Source organism: Homo sapiens, chromosome 3, assembly GCF_000001405.40.
Source record: "Homo sapiens chromosome 3, GRCh38.p14 Primary Assembly".
In the NCBI taxonomy this organism is placed as follows: domain Eukaryota; kingdom Metazoa; phylum Chordata; class Mammalia; order Primates; family Hominidae; genus Homo; species Homo sapiens.
In genome coordinates, this window is record NC_000003.12 from 47714902 (window position 1) to 47741571 (window position 26670).

The following is a 26670-nucleotide window of genomic DNA, read 5'->3' on the forward strand; positions in this document are numbered from 1 at the left end:
GTAGAGGTCACCAGTAACGTATATATTGCTAAACCCGAAGTTCAAGACTAAGATCAAAAAATTTTAAACAGCTGCTTGGTCTTTCCTCAAAGCATTTCCCTCACTTGGCCACCAAGAAAGTACTATCACCTGATAGTCCTTATATTCACCAGCCTCTCTTCAGTTTCCATGTCAGTTTCTGGTCTTAGTCCCAAATGTCTTCAACCTCCAAAAGTTCCTGGGTTCAGTTTTTGGAAAAATCCTTCTCCCTTGCTAATTTCATTCATTCCTATAACTCCAAATATACGCTGATGACTTCAAATTTTATATCAGCACTCTCCCATGTATTCTGAACTCATAAATCCAACAGCCAACTCCACATCTCCTTGTGTAGAACATCTAACAAGCATTCCAAACCTAACACTCAAAGCTCAACTTGCAATGCTACCCTGGCCCCAGCGATGTACTCTAGCCAATCATTTCCATTTCAGTAATGACAACTTTATCCTTCCTGCTGTTCGCCAAAATCCTTGGAAACAGCCTTGATTCCATTCTCAAGCACATCCTGTAATCAAACCAACTGCAAATGTGACCAGCTCTAACTTCAAAAGTATGTCTAGAATCTATCTAATTCTTACCCCTCCACTCTGCTCACTGGTTTTCCTGCTTCTGCCATTGGTCTCTTGGTCTCTCAAAGAGTTAATTTTTCACATAGCCATTGTGATCTTTTTGAAAACTAAGTCAGTCCACATCACTCTACTGATCCAACACTTCCAACTGCTCTCACCCTATCAGAGTGAAAGTAAAAAACCTAACGATGGCTTGCCATGGCTTCAAGATCTAATTATCTGACAGAGACTCTGACCCCATTTCCTGCTCTTCTGTCCTTATTCATGTTATATTTGAGCCACACAGGCTTTGATAACATTATTCCAACATTCCCTACTAAGCCTGCATACACTCTACACAGATTGCTCCCTCACTGTCCAGATATCCATATAGCTTACTCTCTTATTTCTTCACATCTCTTTGCTCAAGGAGCCTCTTTATCAACAAGAACTCACTGACATAAATCAGACCACCTACTCCAACAAAATCATAAAATAGGCACAAAATTTTAACCAAAATAAAACACTGTGAATATCACTATACTGACCAGTAAACTATGAAACCAAATGACATCTAGTATGATGACAAGTATTAGCTTCCTTTTAGTCACCATTCAGAGGTCAGTTCAAAAGAATATGGAACCTGGCCAGGCACAGTGACTCACGCCTGTAATTCCAGCACTTTGGGAGGCCAAGGCAGTGGACCACCTGAAGTATAAGGAGTTCAAGACCAGCCTGGCCAACATGGTGAAATCCCGTTTCTATTAAAAAATACAAAAATTAGCGGGGCGTTGTAGTGTGCACCTGTAATCTCAGCTACTTGGGAGGCTGAGGCAGGAGAATCGCATGAACCTGGGAGGTGGAGTTTGCAGTGAGCTTAGATCGCACCACTGCACTCCAGCCTGGGTGAGAGTGAGACTCCATCTCAAAAAAAAAAAAAAAAAAAAAAAACCCAACCTTATACTCTTCCAGTCTTGATTAGAAATTGAAATGTGGGGAGAAGTGAGGGCACAGGCCATAGTTAATTTTTAAAAAGTGAATTAACAAGACTCCTTAAGACAAAACCTGAGCCAGCTGCCACATCTTATTCGATACATAAGGAAAAAGTGAGCAAACAGGCTATGGTCTTAAAATGTGTTATTTTGGAACTTATACCAACTCTATACTTATGTAGCTTGTCATCATAAATTTAAGTTTCCATTGAAGGGTTTCAAAGGGCAAACCTTTTCCTATATAGTTGCTGAAATATTAAAAGGTGTTTTTGGATGCAAGGACTACTGACTTGAAGCCTTTAGACTGGGAGTGCTTTACAGAAAGAACTTATTCAAATGATGTTTTAAAAATAAGCTGGGCCTAGTCACATGTACTTGTAGTCCCAGTTAGTAAGGAGGCAGAAGAATCACATGAGCCCAGGAATTTGAGGCCAGTCTGGGCAACATATTTTTAAAAAGTAAAAAACTAATCCTTAGGGGAGGGGAAGTTATTCACTTAAATTTGTCAATTATGGTTCACATGAGACTGATTACAAAGCTGACTTGATTTAGTTGTAATTAACTCGAACTACATAAAAAGATTGTATATACTTTTAAAATGTTGAATGAATCTAAAGACAAACTTCCTTCTTTTAAAAATATAATTACAAGCAAAATAAACTTAAATAGACTAATAAAAACAATGCAAAACCTGATGTTTTATGTTTACTGATAAAGAATACACATATATGCAATAGTCTTGTTCCTCCCCAATTAAAATGGAATCTGACTAACCTTAGATCCGGCTACCAATTTAAGGGAAATACAGAGAACACAGTAATCCGTTCAAATAAACCATAGTGCTGCCATTGAAAAACTCCATACTGTGGTAAACGAAACATGACAAACCAACTGGTTTCTTAAAACCAGTAAGGTTTTAAGAAAGGGGAGGTCATGAAGACAGAGGAAGAACCTATAAAACTATAAATCAGAAAAGTACTTAAATATACCAACTAATCCCAACAGGTAGATTTTATCTAAATTCTAATTCAAACAACTATCAATCAATCAATCGTGTCATTTAATTGACAACATTGACTGGATTTTTATTTTTATTTTTTTGAGACAGGGTCTCACTCTGTTGCCCAGGCTGGAGTGCAGTGGCACGGTCTCAGCTCACTGCAGCCTCAACCTCTGGGGCTCAAGTAATCCTCCTGCCTCAGCCCCATCCCAAGTATCTGGGACTACAGGCACGTGTCATCATGACTGGCTAATTTTTGTATTTTTTGTAGAGACAAGGTTTCACCACGTTGCCCAAGGTGGTCTAGAACTCCTGGCCTCAAGTGATCCACCCACCTCAGCCTCCCAAAGTGCTGGGATTACAGGCATGAGCCATCATGCCCAGCCATGATATTTTATATTAAGGAACTGTTTGGGTTTTTTTAAGATGACAATGGTATTATTACTTTGAACAGTTTGAGGCCAGGAGGTTGAGACCAGCCTGAACAACATACAGAGCACCCCCCCTGCCCCCGCCAACAAAAAATTAAAAAATAAGGCACCTATGGGTGGCACGTGCCCGTAGTGCCAGCCCCCAGGGAGGCTGAGGTTGGAGGATCACTTGAGCTGTCTTCATGCCACTGCACTGCAGCCTGGGTAACAGAGCAAGACCTTGTCTCAAAAAAAAAAAAAAAAAAAAAAAAGGCCAGGCACGGTGGCTCACACCTATAATCCCAGCACTTTGGGAGGCCAAGGTGGGTGGATCACCTGAGGTCAGGAGTTTGAAACCAGCCTGGCCAACATGGCAAAATCTCATCTCTACTAAAAATACAGAAATTAGCCAGGTGTGGTGGCATGCGCCTATAATCCCAGCTACTCAGGAGGCTAAGGCATGAGAATCGCTAGAACCAGGGAGGCGGAGCTGAGGTTGCGCCACTGCACTCCAGCCTGGGAGAAAGAGTAAGACTCCATCTGAAAAAAATTAAAGAGAGAATGTATTTCTTTTTAAATACATACTAAAACACTTATGATTCAAATGGTGTTTGGGATTTGCTATAAATAATATGAGAAGACGAGAAGTAGATAGAAGAAGAGGTTAAAAAAAAGTGGGGGGTAGGGGCAAGGGATAAAAGACTACAAATAAGGTGCAGTGTATACTGCTCGGATGATGGGTGCACCAAATCACCATTAAAGAATTTACTCATGTAACCACATATCAACTGTACCCCAATAACTTATGAAAAAATAAAATAAAAAAATAAAAATAAAAAAAGTAGGTGAAAGAAGACTGACTAGACCTGTAGAAAACACAATGAAAATCTCCACTTTACATGACAAGAATGAAATAAATACTAAAACTGCTCTACTATAGGTTTAGAAAAATATAGTACAAACAATGTTATCCCTATTTCCATGTGCACTATGCAGGCATTAATATTAAATAATTATTTAATAAATTAAAAAAAATTTTTTTTTGAGATGGAGTCTCTGTCACCCAGGCTGGACTGCAGTGGCGCAATCTCGGCTCACGGCAAGCTCCGCCCCCGGGGTTCATGCCATTCTCCTGCCTCAGCCTCCCAAGTAGCTGGGACTACAGGCACCCACCACCATGCCCGGCCAATTTTTTTGTATTTTTAGTAGAGACGGGGGTTTCACCGTGTTAGCCAGGATGGTCTCAGTCTCCTGACCTCGTGATCCGCCCGCCTTGGCCTCCCAAAGTACTGGGATTACAGGTGTGAGCCACCACGCCCGGCCCCACTATTTTCACTAATATCTAGCTCTTGTTTATAATACTCGTTATTCATACTGTAGATACTGAAACTAGTATGGGTTATAACATGTAAAGCCACAACAGTACTAGGCAAATAAATTTCTGATGAGAAAACTCAATTTTCAACATAAATTAATTTCATCCTTAGTGGTTTCGCATAAGTAGTTTTTGAAAAAAGCAAACTGATCAGGCTGGACGCGGTGGCTCACACCTGTAATCCCAGCACTTTGAGAAGCCAAGGTGGGTGGATCACCTGAGGTCAGGAGTGCAAGACCAGCCTGACCAGCATGGTGAAACCCCGTCTCTACTAAAAATACAAAAATTAGCCAGGCATGGTTGGGGGGCATCTGTAATCCCAGCTACTAGGAAGGATGGAGGCAGGAGAATCACTTGAACCCAGGAGGTGGAGGTTGCAGTGAGTCGGGACTGTGCCACTGTAATCCAGCCTGGGCGACAAAGCGGGACTCTGTCTCAAAAAAATCTGATCAGTAATAAACACTAGAAAAAAAATTATTTATTTTTTGAAGACAGAGTGAGACTCTGTCACCAAGGATGGAGTGTAGTGCCATGATCTCGGCTCACTGCAACCTCCGCTTCCCAGGTTCAAGTGATTCTCATGCCTCAGACACCTGAGTAGCTGGGATTACAGGCGTGCGCTACCATGTCTGGTTAACTTTTTATAGTTTTAGTAGAGATGGAGTTTCACCATGTTGGCCAGGCTGGTCTTGAACTCCTGACCTCATGTGATCCACCCACCTTGGCCTCTCCAAGTGCTGCGATTACAGGCATGGGCCACTGTGCCCGGCAAAATTCATTTCTTAAAAGAAACAAATATAAATTAGCAACCTAATACCACACAGACTTTTTTGGCAACTACATAAAAGATATGAGGTTTTGTTTTTGGTTTTTTTTGAGACGGAGTCTCACTCCGTTGCCCAGGCTGGAGGGAAACGGCGCAATCTCGGCTCACTGAAACCTCCACCTCCCGGGTTCAAGGGATTCTCCTGCCTTAGCTTCCTGAGTAGCTGGGATTACAGGCACCTGCCACCACGTCTGGCTAATTTTTTTTATTTTTAGTAGAGATGGGGTTTCACTATGTTGACCAGGCTGGTCTTGAGCTCCTGACCTCATGATCCACTGCCTCAGCCTCCCAAAGTGCTGGGATTACAAGCATGAGCCACTGTGCCCAGCCTTGATATCAGTTTTTTTTAAAGCTAAATAAAGCCATTTATGGCTTATTCATTCACCATTTAATGGTGACCTCATTAAATTTTGTACCTTAAATAAGAAAACAGTCAATAAAAGACTCCATAAGTGAGAAAAATGACTAAACACAAAGCAACAAATTGTCACTATTCAGAAAATAAAACTATAAATAAATGTGCCTTCCTTTCACAGAAATCTTTATACCAGGTCTCACAGCATATGAACATTACCTGTCTGGGTAAAAGCCCCAATGCACTAACACTTGCTTCTCTTTTCTCATCACCGGTCTCAACCATTCTTCTGGAAGAGAAAAAGAAACAACTTTACTCAAACTGACAAAATAATAAAGAAACTATGATTTTTAGCCTTAATTTTTACTAAGATGTTTTAGTTTGCTAACGAACAACATTTTTCGAACATGCTGTTGCTGGTTTGGAAAGAAAAAGTTTTCAAATTGAGTACTATCTACCAGATTAAAGGGAAATTTCTCAGTCTTTCTGACTTTCCAAACTGTAGGTCTACTATCCATCACTCTTGACAAAACCAATTATCCACTGCGGTAAAATACTCCCATCCCATTCACCCACCAGCCTCCCCTCTCTCTTCTATCAAAATAATAATCACCATATTATTTAATGTTTCACTTCCCATGGTGAACCTCTCATCCCTCTTTCTGTGAGGCTTAGCAATTATTACACATCTTTCAAGATGTAAACCGTACTTCATCTCATTGATGAAAGTTTTACTAACTACTCTGCTTCCTCTAGATTCCCTTTTTCTGATGTCCTATAAGCTGTAAAGTGCTACATCAAAGCTTTTACCAAAAATACTATTTTTACTATTCTTTCACTGCCTCATACCTGTTAGCCCTCCCAACAAGAGTGTAAGCAATGTGATTACATATTGTAGACTTTTTTTCAAAAATTTTTTCCAAAGATAAGTGCAAATTATATAATAAAGTGATTCTTAGTATTCTAATCACAGTTAAATTACCTCCACATTTCAGCACTGGTAATCATGTGCTTCTTTGGTAGTCTGAATTTAGCTTAGAAAATGGACGCCTAATAGTAAGAGAGAAGTTCTGAAGTAAGCCCCCTTAAAGCCCACAGCAAACAAACAAACAAACAAACAAACAGATCTAAGTAAATTAGCCAAGTAAAAATTACTTTCCAGTGCAGATTTTAACAAGATATAGCCTCATTTTCACTGAATAAAGCCATGAAGCCCTCATACCTGTGCTGTTTTTGAAGTATACAATGACTCACCTAACTATCTTAAAAGAAAGTGAAAGGGGGCCAGGTGTGGTGGTTCATGCCTGTAATCCCAGCACTTTTGGAGGCAGGGGCAGGAAGATCACTTGAGCCCAGGAGTTCAAGACCACCCTGGGCAACAAAGTGAGATTCAGTCTCTTAAAAAATTTTAAAAATAAAAGTAAATAGCTAGGCATGGTGGTGTGCATCTATACTCCCAGCTACTCAGGAGGCTAGGGCAGGAAGATCACGAGCATTATAGTTTGAGGCTGCAATGGGCTATTAATAAGTACACTCTTGCACTTCAGGCTGGGCAAAAATGAGTCTCCATCTCAAAACAAAAGGTGAAAATGACAGAATCAGGCCCTGTTCCCTAACATGGTAACTCAACATGGCAGAGGAAAAAAGAAAAGGGGCCAGAGGATCTTTCTAAATCCCGACTACCTAAACTAACCTGTCCTGTCCTGTTAAGTGTGTCTTGGTGGTGTTCTAACTAGTAAAAGCTGCCTTTCAGAATACTGAGTCCATTATCAAAGACTATGCACCTTTATGAAAAAGAAGAAAAGGTATCTTTCCTAACCACAGCTGACTTTTGATACAAATTTTGATTTTTTTTTTTTTTTTTTTTTGAGACAGAGTTTCACTCTTGTTGCCCAGGTTAGAATGCAATGGTGCGATCTCGGCTCACCACAACCTCTGCCTCCCGGGTTCAAGTGATTTTCCTGCCTCAGCCTCCCAAGTAGCTGGGATTACAGGCATGCGCCACACCATGCCTAATTTTTTGTATTTTTAGTAGAGACGGGGTTTCTCCATTTTGATCAGGCTCATCTCAAACTCCTGACCTCAGGTGATCTACCACCTCGGCCTCCCAAAGTGCTGGGATTACAGGCATGAGCCGCTGTGCCTGGCCAAAAAAATTTTTGATTTTTATCAAGACAATTTTTTTAATTATTTGAAATATTTTCCAATAGCAGAAACAACAAAAGGTGTGAGATGTAAGCTCGCTCTCTTCCCAGGTATTATAAATTTATACCCAAAAATGAATTTATAGAAGTATGGCTGAATGACAAAAGAGTAAGGCCAATGCCATTGAAAGATGAATTACTTATATATCCCAAAAGAAGGAAAATAACATACCATGCAGAGCCACTGCAGAGGCATCACAATAGTCAAGAGGTAGAAGACAGGAACAAGGGGAAGCCTAAGCCAAAGCCTGCATTGGGGTTTCCACAGAAAAGGTAACACAGGGCAGAGTAACAGTTTAAGGTGGGGATGACTGAATAATTGCAAGAAACACTGGGGTACAGAGGTTGTCTCTAATTGCCTGGTACCTCGCCCTGGAATGATTTAGAAAAGGGGAAATACTGGTTTGGTGTGTGAGAGTTAGATAAGGAGACGGTTACAGCTATATACTCAGATTGGTTGGTTTACATATGAAAGATGTGCTCCTAGGCAAGTTATTATCTTCAGAAATTAGCTAGCCCTCAAAAGGGCAATCTCTCCCCAGGTCATCAAATGCCAGAGCAACAAGAACACAGAAAATAAAAATACACAGTTAATATAATAATTAGTATAATGTAAAATACAGTTAATAATTAGCATATCATACAGTTAATATAATAATTGAAATTAGCTTAGATAGAAGAACAGAATTGGGTTTTTTTGTTGGGTTTTTTTTTTTTTTTTTTTTTTTGAGACAGAGTCTCACTCTGTTGCCCAGGCTGGAGTGCAGTGGCACGATCTCAGCTCACTGCAACCAGCCAGGGTGACGGAATGAAATTCTGTCTTAAAAAAAAAAAAATTTAAAAGGCCTACAACTGAACAACAACAAACAATTTAAAAAGGAGGCCAGGCACAGTGGCTCACACCTGTAACCCCAGCACTTTGGGAGGTCAAGGCGGCAGATCACCTGAGGTCAGTAGTTTGAGACCAGCCTGGCCAACATGATGAAACCTTGTCTCTACTAAAACTACAAAAATTAGCTGGGCATGGTGGCGGGGGCCTGTAATCCCAGCTACTTGAGTGGCTGAGGCAGAAATGCTTGAACCTGGGAGGTGGAGGTTGCAGCGAGCGGAGACCACACCACTGCACTTTAGGCCTGGGCAACAAGAGTGAAACTCCGTCTCAAAAAATTAAAAAATAAAAAGAAAAAAGAAAAACGAAAAAAGTACTTGAGTAGGTATTTCTCCAAAGATGATATACAAATGACCAATAAGCATATGAAAAGATACTCAATGTCACTAATCATCAAGACAATGAAAATCAAAACAATGATATATCAGCTTTTTATCTGTTAGGATGACCATTATAACAAAACAGAAAATAAAAAGTGTTAACAAAAATACAGAGAAACTGGAACCATTGCGCACCGTTGGTGAGTATGTAAAATGATGTAGCAGCTATGAAAGGGTCCTCAAAACAATTAAAAACAGTATTACCATACGATCTAGCAATTCCACTGCTGGGTATATGCCCAAAATAAAGTAGGATGAAAGTAGGATGCTGAAGAGATACTTGCACACCCATGTTCATTACAGCAGTATTCACAATAGTCAAAATGCAAAAGCAACCTAAATATCCATCTAAGTATGAATACATAAAAAATGGTATACAAATATAATGGAATACAGGCACATGCTATGACATGAATGAACAATAAGGACACTGTACCAAGTAAAATAGGCCAGTCACAATAATACAAATACTAAATGATTCCACTTATATTAGGTTATCTAGAGTAGTCGAACTCTTAGAAAGCAGAATGGTAGTCAAAAGCAGTAGCACAAACTTGTCCAACCCAAGACCCATGAGCTACGTGCAGCCAAGGATGGCTTTGAATGTAGCCCAACACAAATTCATAAGTTTTCTTAGAACATTATGGTTTTTCTGGGTGTGTTTTAAGTTCATCCACTATTGCTAGCATTACTGTATTTTATGTGTGGCCCAAAACAATTATTATTCTTCCAATGTGGCCCAGGGAAGCCAAGACTGGACATCCCTGTGCTAGGGGAAAGAGAAAAAGAGATGTTTAATGGGTACAGAGTATCAGTTCTGCCAGATGAAAAAGTTCTAAAGATCTCTTGCACGTGACTGTGCACAGTGGCTCACGCCTGTAATCCCAAAACACTGGGAGGCTAAGTGAGGCAGGAGGATCACTTGAGCCCAGGAGTTTGAAACCAGCCTTGGCAACATATCTCTACAAAAATTGTTTTTAAATTAGCCATGTGTGGTGTTGTGCACCACCAGTCCCAGCTACTTGGGAGGCTGGGGTGGGAGGACAAGGCTACATGGAGCCACGATCGCACCACTGCACTCCAGCCTAGGTAACAGAAAAAGACTGTCTCCACAAAAAAAAAAAAAAAAAAAAAAAAATCTATTGCACGACAAGATGTTTATACTTAACACTACTATACTGTATATGTAAAAATGATTAAGATAAATGTTATGTGTTTTTTACCACAATAAAAAAGGAATACAATATCAAACAGATTCACCTTGAAAATATTATGCTAAATGAAAAGAGTGAGACATAAGAGATCGTATGTCATCATGCTTTCATTTCTACGAAATGACCTGAACAAATATATCTATACAGCAAGAGAGTAGACTGCTGGTTGTCAAGGACTAACGTGGGAGAAGGGAAAGTGACTGCTAACAGGTATGGGTTTATTTTTAAAGTGATGAAAACATTTTGAAATTAACAGTGATGGCTGCACAACTGTAAATATACTAAAAAATTTTCAATTGTGCACTTTATTATTATTATATATATATATTTTTTTGGAGATGGAGTCTCACTCTGTTGTACAGGCTGGAGCACAGTGATGCCATCTTGGCTCACCGCAACCTCCGCCTCCTGGGTTTGAGCAATTCTCCCACCTCAGCCTCCCAAATAGCTGGAATGACAGGGGCCCGCCACCATGCCCAGCTATTTTTTTGTGTTTTTAGTAGAGACGGGGTTTCACCATGTTGGCAAGGCTGGTCTCAAAATCCTGGCCTCAGGTGATCCGCCTGCCTCAGCATCCCAAAGTGCTGGGATTATAGGCATGAGCCATCGGGCCCAGCCCAACTGTGCATTTTAAAATGGTGAATTTTGCTAGGCGCAGTGACTCATGCCTGTAATCCCAACACTTTGGGAGGCTGGGTCGGGTGAATCACCTGAGGTCAGGAGTTCAAGACGAGCCTGGCCAACATGGTGAAACCCCGTCTCTACTAAAAATACAAACATTAGCTGGGTGTCGTGGTGGATGCCTGTAATCCCAGCTACTCAGGAGGCTGAGGCAGGAGAATCGCTTGAACCTGGGAGGCGGAAGCTGCAGTGAGCCAAGATCACGCCACTGCACTCCAGCCTGGGTAGAAGAGTGAGACTCTGTCTCAAAAAAAAAAAAAAAAAAAAGGTGAATTTCATGGTATGTGGATTATATCTCAATTAGCCTGTTATTAAAAAATAATAAACAATATTACTTGGGAGGCTGAGGTGGGAGGACTGCTTGATACCAGGAGTTCAACACCAGCCTAGGAAATATAGTGAGACACCCATCTCTAATATATTTAATAATAATGTAAAATAATTTAAAAAATAAAAATAAAGAGAGAACATGGCCCAGTCAGGAAGCTGAAAGGCAACCAATATGTATGGATATAGAAAACAAACAGGAAAACAGTGGAAACAACAATTTAGCTCTACATGGTGGAACGCTTTTAAAGAGTTTAACTCTATTTGGATTGCTTCATCATTATTATTGTTATTGCCAATGCTTTATTCTATTAATCAGTGTTTTGCTTGCTTTCTGTTAAGACGGTAAACATAAAATTTACCATTTTAACCATTTTATAAGTAAGCAGTTTAGTACTGTTAGGTACACCCAGTGTTGCATGTCCAATCTCCAGATCTCTCTGTACATTATGAAACTAAAACCCTACACCCAATGAACAGCAACTCCCTGATGGAGCATTAGCCAGGCTTAAAAAGGAAATTCTAGCACATGCTGTAACATGAATAAACTTTGAAGACATTACACTAAGCAAAACAAATTAATCATAAAAACACAAATTCTGTATGATTTCATCTAAGGTGGTCAAATTCTTAGTCTCTGATAACAACCATGTTATATTCAGTATCAATGAATTTCACTACTTTGGGTACTTCATAAAATTGGAATCATATGGTATTTCTCCATGTTATTAGCATGTGTTAAAATTTCCTTTTTTTTTCAAGGCTGAATAATATTCCACTGTGTGGGACCAGGAGTGGTGACTCACGCCTCTAATACCAGCACTTTGGGAGGCTGAGGCGTTTGGATCACTTGAGGTCAGGAGTTTGAGACAAGCCTGTCCAACATGGTGAAACCCTGTCTCTGCTAAAAATACAAAAAAAATTAGCTGGGTGTGGTGGTGCACTCCTGTAGTCCCAGCTACTCGGGAGGCTGAGGCAGGAGAATCGCTTGAACCCAGGAGGCGGAGGCTGCAGTGCGCCAAGATGACGCCACTACACTCCATTCTGGGTGACACAGCAAGACTCCACCTTAAAACAAAAAAACTGGCCGGGCACGGTGGCTAACGCCTATAATCCCAGCACTTTGGGAGGCCGAGGCAGGTGGATCATGAGGTCAGGAGTTCGAGACCAACCTGGCCAAGACGGTGAAACCCCATCTCTACTAAAAATACAAAAATTAGCTGGGCATGATGGTGGGCACCTGTAATCCCAGCTACTTAGGAGGCTGAGGCAGGAGAATCACTTGAACCCAGGAGGCGGAGGTTGCAGTGAGCCGAGATCACATGACTACACTCTAGCCTGGGTGACAGAACAAAGACTACATCTCAAAAAAAAAATTGTACTGTGTGTACATACCACAATTTGTTTATCCATTCACCTAATTATTTTAACCTGGGTTTTGGCCATTTTCCTCTTTTACCAATAGGTTGTTTTTTGTTTTTTTTTTTAGGTAAGACAGAGTTTTGCTCTTCTTGCCCGGGCTAGAGCGCAGTGGTGCAATCTCAGCTCACTGCAACCTCCACCTCCCAGGTTCAAGCGATTCTCCTGCCTCAGCCTCCCGAGTAGCTAGGATTACAGACACCTGCCACCACTCTTGGTTAAATTTCGCCATATTGGTGAGGCTGGTCTCAAACTCCTGACCTCAGGTGATCCACCCGCCTTGGCCTCCCAGAGTGCTGGGATTACAGGCCTGAGCCACAGCGCCAGGCCTTGTTTTTTAAGACATGAGATTTCACTATGTTGCCCAGGTTGGAGTGCAATGGCTACGCAAAGGCACAATTATCACATGCCACAGTCTCAAACTCCTGACCTCAAGTGATCCTCCCACCTCAGCCTCCAGAGGAGCTGGAATACAGGCACGTATCACCACACCCGGATTTAACCACCTTATTAGTCCCTTTTTTTTTTTTTTTTTTTTTTTTTTGAGATGGAGTCTCCTTCTGTCACCCAGGCTGGAGTGCAGTGGCAAGATCTTGACTCACTGCAACCTCCATATCCCAGGTTCAAGCGATTCTCCTGCCTCAGCCTCCCAAGTAGCTGGGGTTACAAATGGGTGCCAGCACAGCCGGCTAATTTTTGGTATTTTTAGTAGAGATGGGGTTTCACCATTTTGGTCAGGCTGATCTCAAACTCCTGACCTCAAGTGATCCACCCACCTCGGACTCCCAAACTGCTGGGATTACAGGCGTGAGACACCAGGTCCAGCCCTCATTAGTCTAAGAACCACCTGACATTGCTGAATATCTCACTAATGTGTACTTTCTACATCATTAATTTTTGCTTTTATTATTTCCTTTTTCGTTAGGTTTAATTTGGTGTTGTTTTTCTAATTTCTTGAGAAAGATGTTTGGACCACTGATTTCTAACCTTTCTCCTTTCCTAATATAAAGAAATAAATGTTCCTCTAGGCACAGCTTCTACTACATCTTTTAAAAGTTAATGTTGGCTGGGCGCAGTGGCTCACACCTGTAAACCCAGCACTTTGGGAGGCCAAGGTGGGCAGATCACGAGGTGAAGAGATTGAAACCACCATCCTGGCCAACATGGTGAAATTCTTGTCTCTACTAAAAATACAAATATTACAGCTGGGCATGGTGGTGGGCGCCTATATTCCCAGCTACTCAGGAGGCTGAGTCAGGAGAATCTCTTGAACCCGGGAGGTGGAGGTGGCAGTGAGCTGAGATCGCGCCACTGCACTCCAGCCTGGGCGACAGACTCCATCTTCAAAACAAAACAAAAACAAATAAAAAGCTGGTTATTCTGTTTAAGTCTTTGGGGGTATGACATAAAATCCATTTGGTATGATGTATGAGCTCATCTGTTCACAACGCAAAACTAACTTACCATCGTCTTGTGAGGAAGAATATGGGTAAATGTGGTGGGAAGCTTTTGACTTCTCATCCGTAAATGTTCCCTGGAAAGCAAATGAACAAAAACCACAAAAATAAAGCACATGGCAATGAACTATGAGATTCCAGATACAAATTCCATACAAATTCTAAAAGCATGGTTTTACTTATAGACTTTATATAAAAAAGACTTGCTTCTTTTTAGTCAAATAAAAAAAAGTGATTAACAACAATAAACCAAAAAATTGTCTACACAGTTTAGACTGCTGTATAGAAAAGTAATTCGAGCACCTATTAGCTAGTTCTCTACAGATCTCTCTCTCTGGGTATCCATATCAGTAATATGGGTACTACTAATTCTTTTTTTTCCTGAAATGGAGTCTTGCTCTGTCACCCAGGCTATAGTGTGGCAGCACAATCTTGGCTCACTGCAACCTCCTCCGTCTCCTGGGTTCAAACGATTCTCCTGCCTCAGCCTCCTGAGTAGCTGGGATTACAGGCACCCGCCAGCACGCCTGGCTAATTTTTCTATTTTTAGTAGAGATGGGGTTTCACCATGTTGGTCAGGCTGGTCTTGAACTCCTGACCTTAGGTGAGCTGCCTGCCTTGGCCTTCCAAAGTTCTGGGATTAAAGATGTGAGCCACTGTGTTCAGTCAGGTACTATTACTTCTTAAAATTACTTCCAAAGTCATCACAAATTATCATTACTTCAAGTGAATCAATGCCATTCCTGGCCTTGAGCCATAAACTAGGACTATGTGCAAGCGTAACACAGATACATCGTCAAGTTCAGTTTCAGACCACCGTAATAAAGCATTACAAAATTAGTTGCACAAATTTAGTTTCCTGATGCATATAAAAGTTACATTTATGGCCAGGTGTGGTGGCTCATGTCTGTAATCCTAGCAATTTGGGAGCCAGGTGGATCATTTGAGGTCAGGAGTTCGAGACCAGCGTGGCCAACACGGTGAAACCCCATCTCTACTAAAAATATAAAAATTAGCTGGGCGTGGTGGCACACGTCTGTAATCTCAGCTATTCAAGAGGCTGAGGCAGAAGAATCACTTGAGCCCAGGAGGCAGAGTTTGCAGTGAGCCGAGATGGCACCACTAGCTTGGGGGACAGAGTGAGACTCCGTCTCAAAAAAATAAAAAATAAAAAAAAAGTTACATTTAGGCCAGGTGCAGCTGCTCACACCTGTAATCCCAGCACTTTGGAAGGCTGAAGTGAAAGGATCACTTGAGCCTAGGAGTTCAAGACTAGTCTGGGCAACACAGTGAGACCTTGTCTCAAATTAAAAAAGAAATTAGCCCGGCACTTTTGTGCCTGTAGTCCCAGCTACTCAGGAGGTGAGGTGGGAGGATCATTTGAGCCCAAGAGTTCAAGGTTGCAGTGAACTATGATTATGCCAGTGTACGTTAGCCTGGGCAATACAGTGAGAGAGACCCTGTCTCTCAAAACAAAAATCAAAAGTTAAGTTTACACAGTTTTAGAAAACAGTGTACATACCTTAATTTAAAAATATTTTATTGCTAGAAAACGCTAACAATAGCGGCTGGGTCCAGTGGCTCACGCCTGTAATCCCAGCAGTTTGGGAGGTCAAGGTGGGTGGATCACCTGAGGTCAGAAGTTCGAGACCAGCCTAGCCAACGTGGTGAAACGCGTGTCTATTAAAAATACAAAAAATTAGCCAAGTGTGGTGGCAGACGCCTATAATCCCAGCTACTCAGGAGGCTGAGGCAGGAGAATCCCTTGAACCCCGGAGGCAGAGGCTGCAGTGAGCCGAGATTGCGCCATTGCACTCCAGCCTGGACAACAAGAGCAAAATGCCATCTCAAAAAAAAAAAAAAAATGCCAACAATCATCTGAGACTTAAGCAAATCAGTCTTCTTGCTGCTGGAGGACACTGCCTCAATGATGCTGGCAGCTGACTGATCAAGGTGGTGGTTGCTGAAGGTTAAGGTGGCTGTGGCAATTTCTTAAGTCAACAGTAAAAGTTTGTCACATTGATTGACTCCTTTCACAAATGATTTCTCTGTAGCATGCGATGCTGACAGCATTTTACACACAGCAGAATTTCTTTCAAAACCCTGCTGCTTGCTGTATCAACTAAATGTATGTAATATTTAAAATCCTTTGTTCTCATTTCAACGTTAACAGCGACTGTGCCAGGAGTAGATTCCATGTCAAGAAAGCACTTTGTTCATCCATAAGAAACAACTCTTCCATCTGTTCAAGTTTTGTCATGAGATCGCGGCAATTCAGTCACATGTTCCAGCTTCACTTCAAATTCTAGTTCTCTTATTTGAACCACGTCTGTAGTTACTTCCTCTACTAAAGTCTTTAACCCCTCAAAGTCAACCATGAGGGTCACAATCCACGTCTTCCAAACTTGTTACTGTTGATATTTTGACCTCTGATGAATCGCATGTGTTCTTAGTGGCATCTAGAATGATGAATCTGTTCCAGAAGATTTTCAATTTACTTTGCCCAGATCCATCATAAGAACCACTAACTATAGCAGCTCTATCTTTACAAAATGTATTTCTTAAATAACAAGACTTGAAAGTCAAAATACTCCTTAAAACATGGCTGCAGAATGGAAGTTGTGTTACTATGCATGGAAATAACATTAATTTCCTTGTACATCTGCAACAGAGTGACTAGGTGACTGTCAATGAGCAGTAATATTTCAAAAGAAATTGTTTTTCCTGAGCAGTAGGTCTCTACAGTGGGCTTAAAGTATTCAGTAAACCATACTGTAAATAGATGTGCTGTCATCTAGGCTTTGCTGTTTTGTTATGGAGCACAGGCAAAATAGATGTACAATAATCTGTAGGGCCTTATGACTGTCAGAATGGCAAACGACCATTGGCTTCAACTTACAGTCACCAACTGCATTAAGCCCCAAAATAGCCTGGCTGAAGCTTTTAAGCCAGGCATTGACTTCTCTAACTATGACAGTCCTAAATAGCATCTTATTTTAATAGAAGACTATTTCATTTACATTGAACATCTGTTGTTTGGTGTAACCAGCTTCACCAATTATCTTTACTAAATCTCCTGGATAACTTGCTGCAGCTTCTACATTAGCACTTGCTGCTTCAACTTGGCATTTTTATGTTCTGAAAACGGCTTCTTTCCTTAAACCTCATTAGGCAACCTCTGCTGGCTTCAAACGTTCCTTCTGCAGCTTCCTCACCTCTCTCTCTCAGCCTTCACAGAATTGAAGAGAGTTAGGCCTTTGTTCTGGATTAGAATTTAGCTTAAGGAAATGTTGGGCTGCTCTGATCTCCTAACCAGACCACTGAAACTTTCTCAGTATCAGCAATAAGCATGTTTTGCATCCTATCATTTGCATGTTCACTACAGTCCCACTTTTAATTTCCCTCAAAAACTTTTCCTTTGCACTAAAAACCTAGCTGTTTGACTTAAGAAGCCAAGTTCTCAGCTTATCTTGGCTTTTGTCATGCCTTCCTCACTAAACTAAATCACTACTAGCTTTTTATTTAAAGTGAGAGATAAGCAACTCTTCCTTTGACTTGACCAGCTAGAGGCCATTGTAGGGTTATTAATTGGCTTAATTTTAATACTTGTGGGTCTCAGGGAATAGGCAGGCTAGACAAGAGGTAGAGAGATAGAGAAGTGGCCAGTCAGTGAAGAAGTCAGAACACATACATTTATCAATTAACTTCACCATCTTCTATGGGTGTTGTGCTAAACCAAAGCAATTAAAATAGTATCAAATAGCACCTATCACAGATCACTATAACATGTATAATAATACTAAAAAAGTAAGCCAGGCGCGGTGGCTCACACCTGTAATCCCAGCACTTTGGGAGGCCGAGGGGGGTGGATCACGAGGTCAGGAGTTCAAGACCAGCCTGGCCAACACAGTGAAACCCCGTCTCTACTAAAAATACAAAAATTAGCCAGATGTGGTGGCGGGTGCCTGTAATCCCAGCTACTCAGGAGGCTGAGTCAGAGAACTGCTTGAACCCGGGAGGTGGAGGATGCAGTGAGCCGAGATCACACCACTGCGCTCCAGCTGGGCGACAGAGAAAGACTTCATCTCAAAAAAAAACAAATAAACAAGCAAAAAACTAAAAAAGTTTGAAATACTGTGAGAATTACCAAAATGTGATACACAGACATAATGTAAGCACATGCTGTTGGGAAAATGGCACCAACAGACTTGCTTGACACAGTTTCCACAAACCTTCCATTTAAAAAAAGGAGCAGGGCGGCTGCGGGGTGGTGCTGCAGGGCGGGTTCTGCGGCTCACGCCTGCAATCCCAGCACTTTGGGAGGCCGAGGTAGCAGGGGGAATCTCTTGAGGCCAGGAGCTTGAGGCGAGCCTAGGGAAGACCCTGTCTCTTCAAAAATAAAAATAAAATAGCCAGGGGCAGTGGAGCACACCTGTTGTTAAAAAAAGAACAAGAAGGCCGGGCAAGGTGGCTCATGACTGTAATCTCAGCACTTTGGGCAGATCATGAAGTCAGGAATTCGAGACCAGCCTTTCCAATATGGTGAAACCCCGTCTCTACTAAAAAATAAAAAATTAGCAGCGCAAGGGCCAGGTGCGGTGGCTCATGCCCGTAATCCCAGCACTTTGGGAGGCCGAGGCGGGCGGATCACAAGGTCAAGAGATCGAAACCCCGTCTCTACTAAAAATACAAAAAAATTAGCAAGGCGTGGTGGTGGGCGCCTGTAGTCCCAGCTACTCGGGAGGCTGAGGCAAGAGAATGGTGTGAACCCAGGAGGCAGAGCTTGCAGTGAGCCAAGATCACGCCATGGCACTCCAGCCTGGGCGACACAGCGAGACTCTGTCTCAAAAAAAAAAAAAAAAAAGGTATATATACACGTATATATATACACACATATGTGCTTGTATATACATATATACAAGCACATATATACATGTATACACATATATGTACGTGTGTGTATATATATACATATGTATGTATATCTACATATATGTATACACATATGTATATACAGACATACACACACGTATGTAACAGCTAAATATTCAGCATAAACTGTAGGCAATATATAAAATGTTTCCAGTATGACCCGGTGACAAAAAGAGTAGGTAATTTCAGCTTCAAGGCAAGAAACAGCAGGTTAATTTGTTCTACTTCTGCCCTGGTAACATTCCACATATACTTTAAACTGCATTTGACAGTCAATCCAATAAAAAGATATTCCAAAAGAGAGATGTTTAAGGAATCTGTTCAAAGCCATGATACTAGTGAAAAAAGGAACTGGACTTCAGATTGCCCAATATGATAAAATAATTATATTACCTTACACTTTGAGAGAGATGTCATATATAAGAGGAAGAATGTACTCAATCTATAATTGTACGCAGTATTAGAAACATTAACTTTCAGAACATGCAAGATATTTTACTAAATGCTAAAACATAATACAATTGGTAATCTCTTTTGCAGCAGGAAAAAAAGACATTTCATGAGGCTTCTCAACCAATTCTAAGGATCCATAAAACTCAGTCACATAAAGAATGTTTCAGGAAAATTATCTTCTACGTAAGTCTCCTCAGCTAGCTTACTATGTGATGGGCTTAATTACAGTTTAGTCACATGTAATCACAAACTTACATGTAGTAAATACCCAAAGTCTCAGCCTAAAATGAAGTCAGAAGAAGAAGGCTAAGATGTCAGAACACAGTACTAGTACATGTGTATCAAGACAAAGCAAGCTTGAGGGGGCAGAATTTTTCTGAGACGGAGTCTCGCTCTGTCACCAGGAGCACAGTGGCGCCATCTCAGCTCACTGCAACCTCCACTTCCTGGGTTCAAGTGATTCTCCTGACTCAGCCTCCCCAGTAGCTGGGACTACAGTGGCATGCCACCATGCCCAGCTAATTTTATATTTTTAGTAGAGACAGAGTTTCACCATGTTGGCCAGGATGGTCTCAATCTCTTGACCTCGTGATCCGCCCGCCTTGGCCTCTCAAAGTGCTGGGATTACAGGCGTGAGCCACCACGCCCGGCCTTCAATTTTTTTTTTTAAATCATATATGTAACAGAATACATAAAATGGGGGGTTAGGGAAGACAGGATTACTTGAAAGTAATACTTCATTTCTTCTTACCAACAATTATGTTACCAACTCTATTTGACTTTATAATCTCTGTGATATAGGGTTCTGTGATACATAATACACTAGTTTCCTTAGGTCTATGTAAGCACACTTTACAATAAGACTAACGACTCCATAGCAATGACTTTATTAAATGCTACTCTAGGCTAAAAGCTAAAGATGAGGGGAGAGAAAAAAAACACTGGTACTTTAAGAACTCAAAAAGAGGCCAGGTATGGTGGCTCACACCTATAATCAATCCTAATACTTTGGGAGGGCGAGGCTGGAGGATGACTTGAAGCCAGGAATTCAAGACCAGCCTGGGAACATAGTGAGAAACCATTGTGGCCGGGCACAGTGGCTCATGCCTGTAATCCCAGCACTTTGGGAGGCTGAGGTGGGGAGATCACTCGAGGTCAGGAGTTCGAGACCAGGCTCACCAACATGGCAAAACCCCACCTCTACGAAAAATACAATTAGCACACACCTGTAGTCCCAGCAATTTCGGAGGCTGAGGCACGAGAATCACTTGAACCTCGGAGGCAGAGGATGCAATGAACCGGGATTGCACCCCTACACTCTAGCCTGGGCGACAGCGCGAGACTCTCTCAACCACAACAACAAAAAAACTGGAAGATCTCTTGAGCCCAGAAGTCCAAAGCTACAGTGAGCAAGGATGCTAGGATAGTGCCATTGCATTCCAGCCTGGGCAACAAAGTGACACCTCATCTCTAAAAAGAAAAAAAAAAAAAAAACTCAAGAAAAAAATTTCTTTTGATGCAAATATATCAAAAAATCCAAAACATTACTATGGTTGTCATTTATTAGAGGCTTACAACTACAAAATGAAGTGATCGTGTCTATTATTATCTGAAGTGATTGTGTCTATTACCTGATGTCGTTTGATGATATCTTTCAATTTGTTAGCCAACTTCAGATCAATGTCTGGAATGAGGTAGATGTTGGGTCTGGTCAAACAATTGTTCTGAGGATGAAAAGAACAGACTTTCAAATTCTCTTAGTTTTGAAATAATATCATATTATTTATGCAATATACAAACCACCCCCAGATAACCTTTTCTGCCACAAAAAATATTGAGAAGCATGACCTAAAGAAATTCAGCAACTTTTTCATTAAGATACCATACCAGATTGCCAGATTAATCTTCCTCCCCAATTTTACCCAAATTTACTTTAATGGTCTAATGTAGTGTTTTTAGCTACGGAAGGGATTACAGTTAATCTTAAAAATAGCAATGGCAAGTGGCTCACGCCTGTAATCCCAGCACTTTGGGAGGCCGAGATGGGCGGATCATGAGGTCAGGAGATCAAGACCATCCTGGCTAACACGGTGAAACCCTGTCTCTACTAAAAATACAAAAAAATTAGCCAGGCGTGGTGGTGGGCGCCTGTAGTCCCAGCTACTCGGGAGGCTGAGGCAGGAGAATGGCGTGAACCCGGGAGGTTGGAGCTTGCAGTGAGCCGAGATCACACCACTGAACTCCAGCCTGGGTGACAGAGTGAGATTCCATCTCAAAAAATAAATATATAAAATCAAATAAAATAAATAAAAAAAATAAAAAATAGCAATGGCAAAACATGTATGTTAACTCCCCAAATCATGAAGAAAACCCTCACCCAACAAACAAAACATATCCAATTGTTTCCCTAGCTAAGAATCTGTGGGACAAACAACTTTCACATATTAAGTTAACAATAATATCTAACTGAATTTTTGCCAGCTACCTCTCCCCAGGAAGGTTAATTTAGTGATCACCATAAATTATCAAACAATAAACATATTAGGAAACACAAATAAGGACATTAAGCATTCTCTTTTCCAAGTTATAATACATTTAGAGAAATAATATGTATATTTATGGTACAACCATGGAACAAATCCAAAGAAAATATTCAATCAAGTGAACAGTAGGATGGAAGAGTGCTTATACTAAATAAAATGAAGGCAGGCCGGACTCTGTGGTTCATGCCTGTAATCCCAGAACTTTGGGAGGCCAAGCAAGCAAATCGCTTGAATTCATGAATTTGAGACCAGCCTGGCTAACATGGCAAAACCCCATTTCTACAAAAGATATAAAAAAATTAGCCAGGTGTGATGGCGTGTGCCTGTAGTCCCAGCTACAGGGAAAGCTGAGGTGGGAGAATCACTTGAGCCCGAGAGTTCAAAGCTGCAGTGAGCCTAGCTCTGACTGCACCACTGCACTCCAGCCTGGGTGACAGAGTGAGACCCTGTCTCAAAGAAAATAAAAATAAAATAATAAAATAAAGACAACTCAAACAATACATTAGGTAAAATTAATGAAGAAAATTACCATAAATTATCTCACCATAAATTTTAATACTCTTAAAGACAAGATTAATCATAGCTCTAATCCCCAAACACCCATAAAAATAATAAAACAATACCTTTCAGAACATTTTCTTCCTTTGTTCTTTTGGCAATCCAATAAAGCCAATCTGTGGTTTTTTTTGTTTTTTTGAGAGCCAATCTTTTTTTTGTTTTTGTTGTTTGAGACGGAGTCTCGCTCTGTTGCCCAGGCTGGAGTGCAGGGGCGCAATCTCGGCTCACTGCAAGCTCCGCCTCCCAGGTTCACACCATTCTCTTGCCTCAGCCACCAGAGTAGCTGGGACTACAGGTACCCGGAACCACGTGCGGCTAATTTTTTTTTTTTTTTTTTTTAAGTAGAGACGGGGTTTCACCGTGTTAGCCAGGATGGTCTCGATCTCCTGACCTCGTGATCCGCCTTGCCTCGGCCTCCCAAAGTGCTGGGATTACAGGCATGAGCCACCGCGCCTGGCCAGCCAATCTTAAAACTGAAAATATATTAAAGGTAAACTTTTTAAATAACCTAAGTTTCCAAGTTACCTGCACCAATGTTTTTTCAATGTTCATAAACATTTCCACATTACGATCCATTCGAGATGGGTTCTGTAGGTCAAACCTCCGCCTAAAAAAAAAGAAAAACCCTAGTTAATTTGTCTCCCAGCTTAAACACAAATGAAAACTTGGTTTTAGAATTCGATGCAAATGAGTTAGAAAGATTTGAAAATTAAAATAACTCTACAAAATGTGTGAGACATTCTCTCAGTAACATAAGAATACATAGTATCAACACCCTTATAAAAGAGATATTAAGATCCACCTCAGTGAAAATGAAGTATCAATTCCATGACATATCTATCTAATTTTCCTTAAATCTAAGACATCTTACATCTTATAGAAAAGTAGTCCACATATCCAGGCTGGGCGCAGTGGCTGACGCCTGTAATCCCAGCACTTTGGGAGGCTGAGGCGGGTGGATCAAGAGATCAAGAGTTCAAGACCAGCCTGGCCAACGTGGTGAAACCCCATCTCTACTAAAAATACAAAAATCAACTGGGCATGGTGGTGCACACCTGTAATCCCAGCTACTCAGGAGGCTGAGGCAGGAGAATCACTTGAACCCGAGAGGCGGAGGTTGCAGTGAGCCGGGATCACGCCACTGCACTCTAGCCTGGTGACAGAGCAAGACTCCGTCTCAAAAAAAAAAAAAATCATTTGTTCAAATTCAGCAGTATCTGTGTTCTCTTAGATAAAGGAAAGCATCTTGGGTATTTAATTCTAATACAGCTGTAAGACTTGTGATTTAAACAGACAAGTTTTCTCCAAATAAAATTTTTAACTGGCCACAGTAGCAGTCAAGAGCAGAGACTATCCCTTAATCTGAAATCACTTGATAGCTGGGGGTATCCCAAACCCACAAGTATGAATAACAAGTACTGTTTTCCTAAATGTGGTAACACTGATCTATTTACCTTTACTTGAAACTCTTCTCCAATGTCTCTTTACATTAAGTTCCCAAGCATGTCACCTCCATTTGGTAAAATCTTTACAAAGTCTAATGCCTGTTTCTCCTTACTTTTTATTCAATACCTACTTTGTTTTTGCTCTGTTTTAATTCTTTTAACACTAACATCCAGGACAGGAGTAGAGCTTAGTGACTGAAAGTAAGGATTGTGGAAAACTACATTAGTCTTGAGCAATTTGTTAACCCAAGGATCCACTGCTTCATAAATATAACAGCTTACTGTGGGCTTTTGTGAAGGTTAAATGAGGTATATATTAGAACAGTGCTTAAGTTTAATATAAAGTAACTGATCAATAAATGTTAGCTATAGTTATAATTTTTGTTTTTTGAGGCAGAGTCTCACTGTGTCACCTAGGCTGGAATGCTCTGGTGCAGTAAGAGCTCCCTGTAACCTTGAACTCCTGGGCTCAGGGGATACTCCCACCTCAACCTCAGCCTTGAGTAGCTGGGTCCATAGGCACCAGCCATCACACTCAGGTAACTGTTCTTTATTTTTATTTTTGTAAAGCCAAAGGTCTCACTATGTTGGTCCAGACTGGTCTCAAATTCCTGAGCTCAAACAATCCTCCCACCTCAGCCTCCCAAAGTGCTGACATTACAGGGGTGAGCCAACACGCCTGGCCCAGTTATAATTTTCTTAATCATTACCAGGTACTACCTAGCATTAGGCAGTCTGAGTCCAGAGCTCATACTTTTAACTCACATGTCATGCTATTTTATTCTGGAGATGTTCCCCACACTTCCAATCTTTCTTTTTAAACTCTATAGCCTTTCCAGGCTACCCACTACCACTCAATGGGCCTGACACTATCACTTCCAGAATCAGTCCCCAAGTCACTTGCTCTATAAAGCTAAGCCTATCTTCTTTCATGTTGTTGTTGTTTTAAATGGAGTCCCACTCTATTGCCCAGGCTGGAGTGCAGTGGTGTGATCTCGATTCACCACAACCTCCGCTTCCTGGATTCAAGCGATTCTCCTGCCTCAGCCTCCTGATTAGCTGGGATTACAGGTGTGCTCCACGACACCCAGGTATTTAATAAGTAGAGACAGGGTTTCACCATGTTGGCCAGGCTGGACTCGAACTCCTGACCTCAGGTGATCGCACACCTCAGTCTCTCAAAGAGCTGGGATTACAGATTACAGATGTGAGCCACCACGCCCGGCCATCTTTTTTTTTTTTTTTTTTTTTTTTTTTTTTTTTAAAAGACAGACTCTCGCCCTGTCGTCCAGACTGGAGTGCAATGGGGCGATCTCAGCTTACTGCAACCTCCGCCTTCTGGGTTCAAGCGATTCTCCTGCCTCAGCCTCCCGAGTAGCTGGGATTACAGGCATGCACCACCACACCCTGCTAATCTTTTGTATCTTTAGTAGAGACGGGGTTTCATCATATTGGCAGGGCTGATCTCAAACTCCTGACCTCGAGATCCACCCACCTCGGCCTCCCAAAGCACTGTGATTACAGGTGTGAGCCACTATGCCTGGCCCACACCCGGCTAATTTTTGTATTTTTAGTAGAAATGGAGTTTCACCATGTGGGCCAGGCAGGTCTTGAACTCCTGACCTCGTGATCCACCCACCTCAGCCTCCCAAAGTGCTGGGATTATAGGCATGAGCCAGTGCGCCGGCCTTTCATGTTCTTAATACATCCTGTGCACAATGCTGATACAGCCCCATCAAAGAACTATCTTGTTAGTGAGACATCTCATTAGATACCTTGAGGACAATGGCCAGGTTTTTAAAACTTTTCCTTTACAGCCCTACTGGCTAGAAGAATGTGCAGCTTTACAGAGCAAACTATAAACTGCACTCCAGCCTGGGCGACAGAGGGAGACTCTGACTCAAAAAAAAAAAAAAAAAAACAAAAACCTACAATCTAATTTTCAAAATTAGAATATTGTGACTTTGTAAAGTTGTAATGAAATGACTCTAGGCAGTGAACATCAATGTCTGCCCACTACACACATAAACAACCAGATATTGTATACCTCCAGATAGAAGAATAAAACATTATCTATGATTATTATTGTTGCCAAAAAAAGATAAGGAACCAAATCAGACTAAGCTTCTACCACCAGTTTACAAGAAATTTAGAAGACCATGTTAAATGATAAACTGGAGGCATATAAGCAAAATCTAATAAAACATGGACAATCCTACGAGACAACTGTTTCAGTAGAGCGGGAGGTACTTGTGAGGAAAAGAGACGGAAGAGATAGAAAACTTTAACTTTTTCGAAGAGAGTTAGTCATATCAACCAAAGGCAATGTCTGCACTGCACCTTGTTTGAATATTAATTCAAATAAGATATAAAAATCATTTATGAGATAAGGGAAATTTGAACACTCAACGATTTAATATTAAAAATTATTGCTAATTTTCATATCTGTAATAATGGTAGTGTTATTACACTTTCTAAAATCCTATTTGAGAAATAAATACATGGCAAAATATCTAAACTTGACCCTTAAACAACATAGGCTGGAAATGAGGTCTATTCATATGTGGATTTTCTTCTACCTCTACCATCCAAGAAAGCAAGAACAGCCTTTCTCTTTTCCCTT

At 41.2% G+C, this 26670-nt stretch overlaps 1 protein-coding gene across 1 annotated transcript in view; it reads right to left on the reverse strand.

The window, feature by feature from the left end:
• SMARCC1 (SWI/SNF related BAF chromatin remodeling complex subunit C1) overlaps window positions 1–26670 on the reverse strand; it is a 196625-nt gene that overhangs the window by 129633 nt on the left and 40322 nt on the right. The window contains exons 4-7 of the mRNA NM_003074.4: window positions 23128–23209; window positions 21133–21225; window positions 14124–14193; window positions 5765–5834 (exon numbers count right to left, since the gene is read on the reverse strand). Coding sequence (NP_003065.3) covers window positions 5765–5834; window positions 14124–14193; window positions 21133–21225; window positions 23128–23209 — 315 coding nt within the window. The remainder of the gene's footprint in view (window positions 1–5764; window positions 5835–14123; window positions 14194–21132; window positions 21226–23127; window positions 23210–26670) is intronic.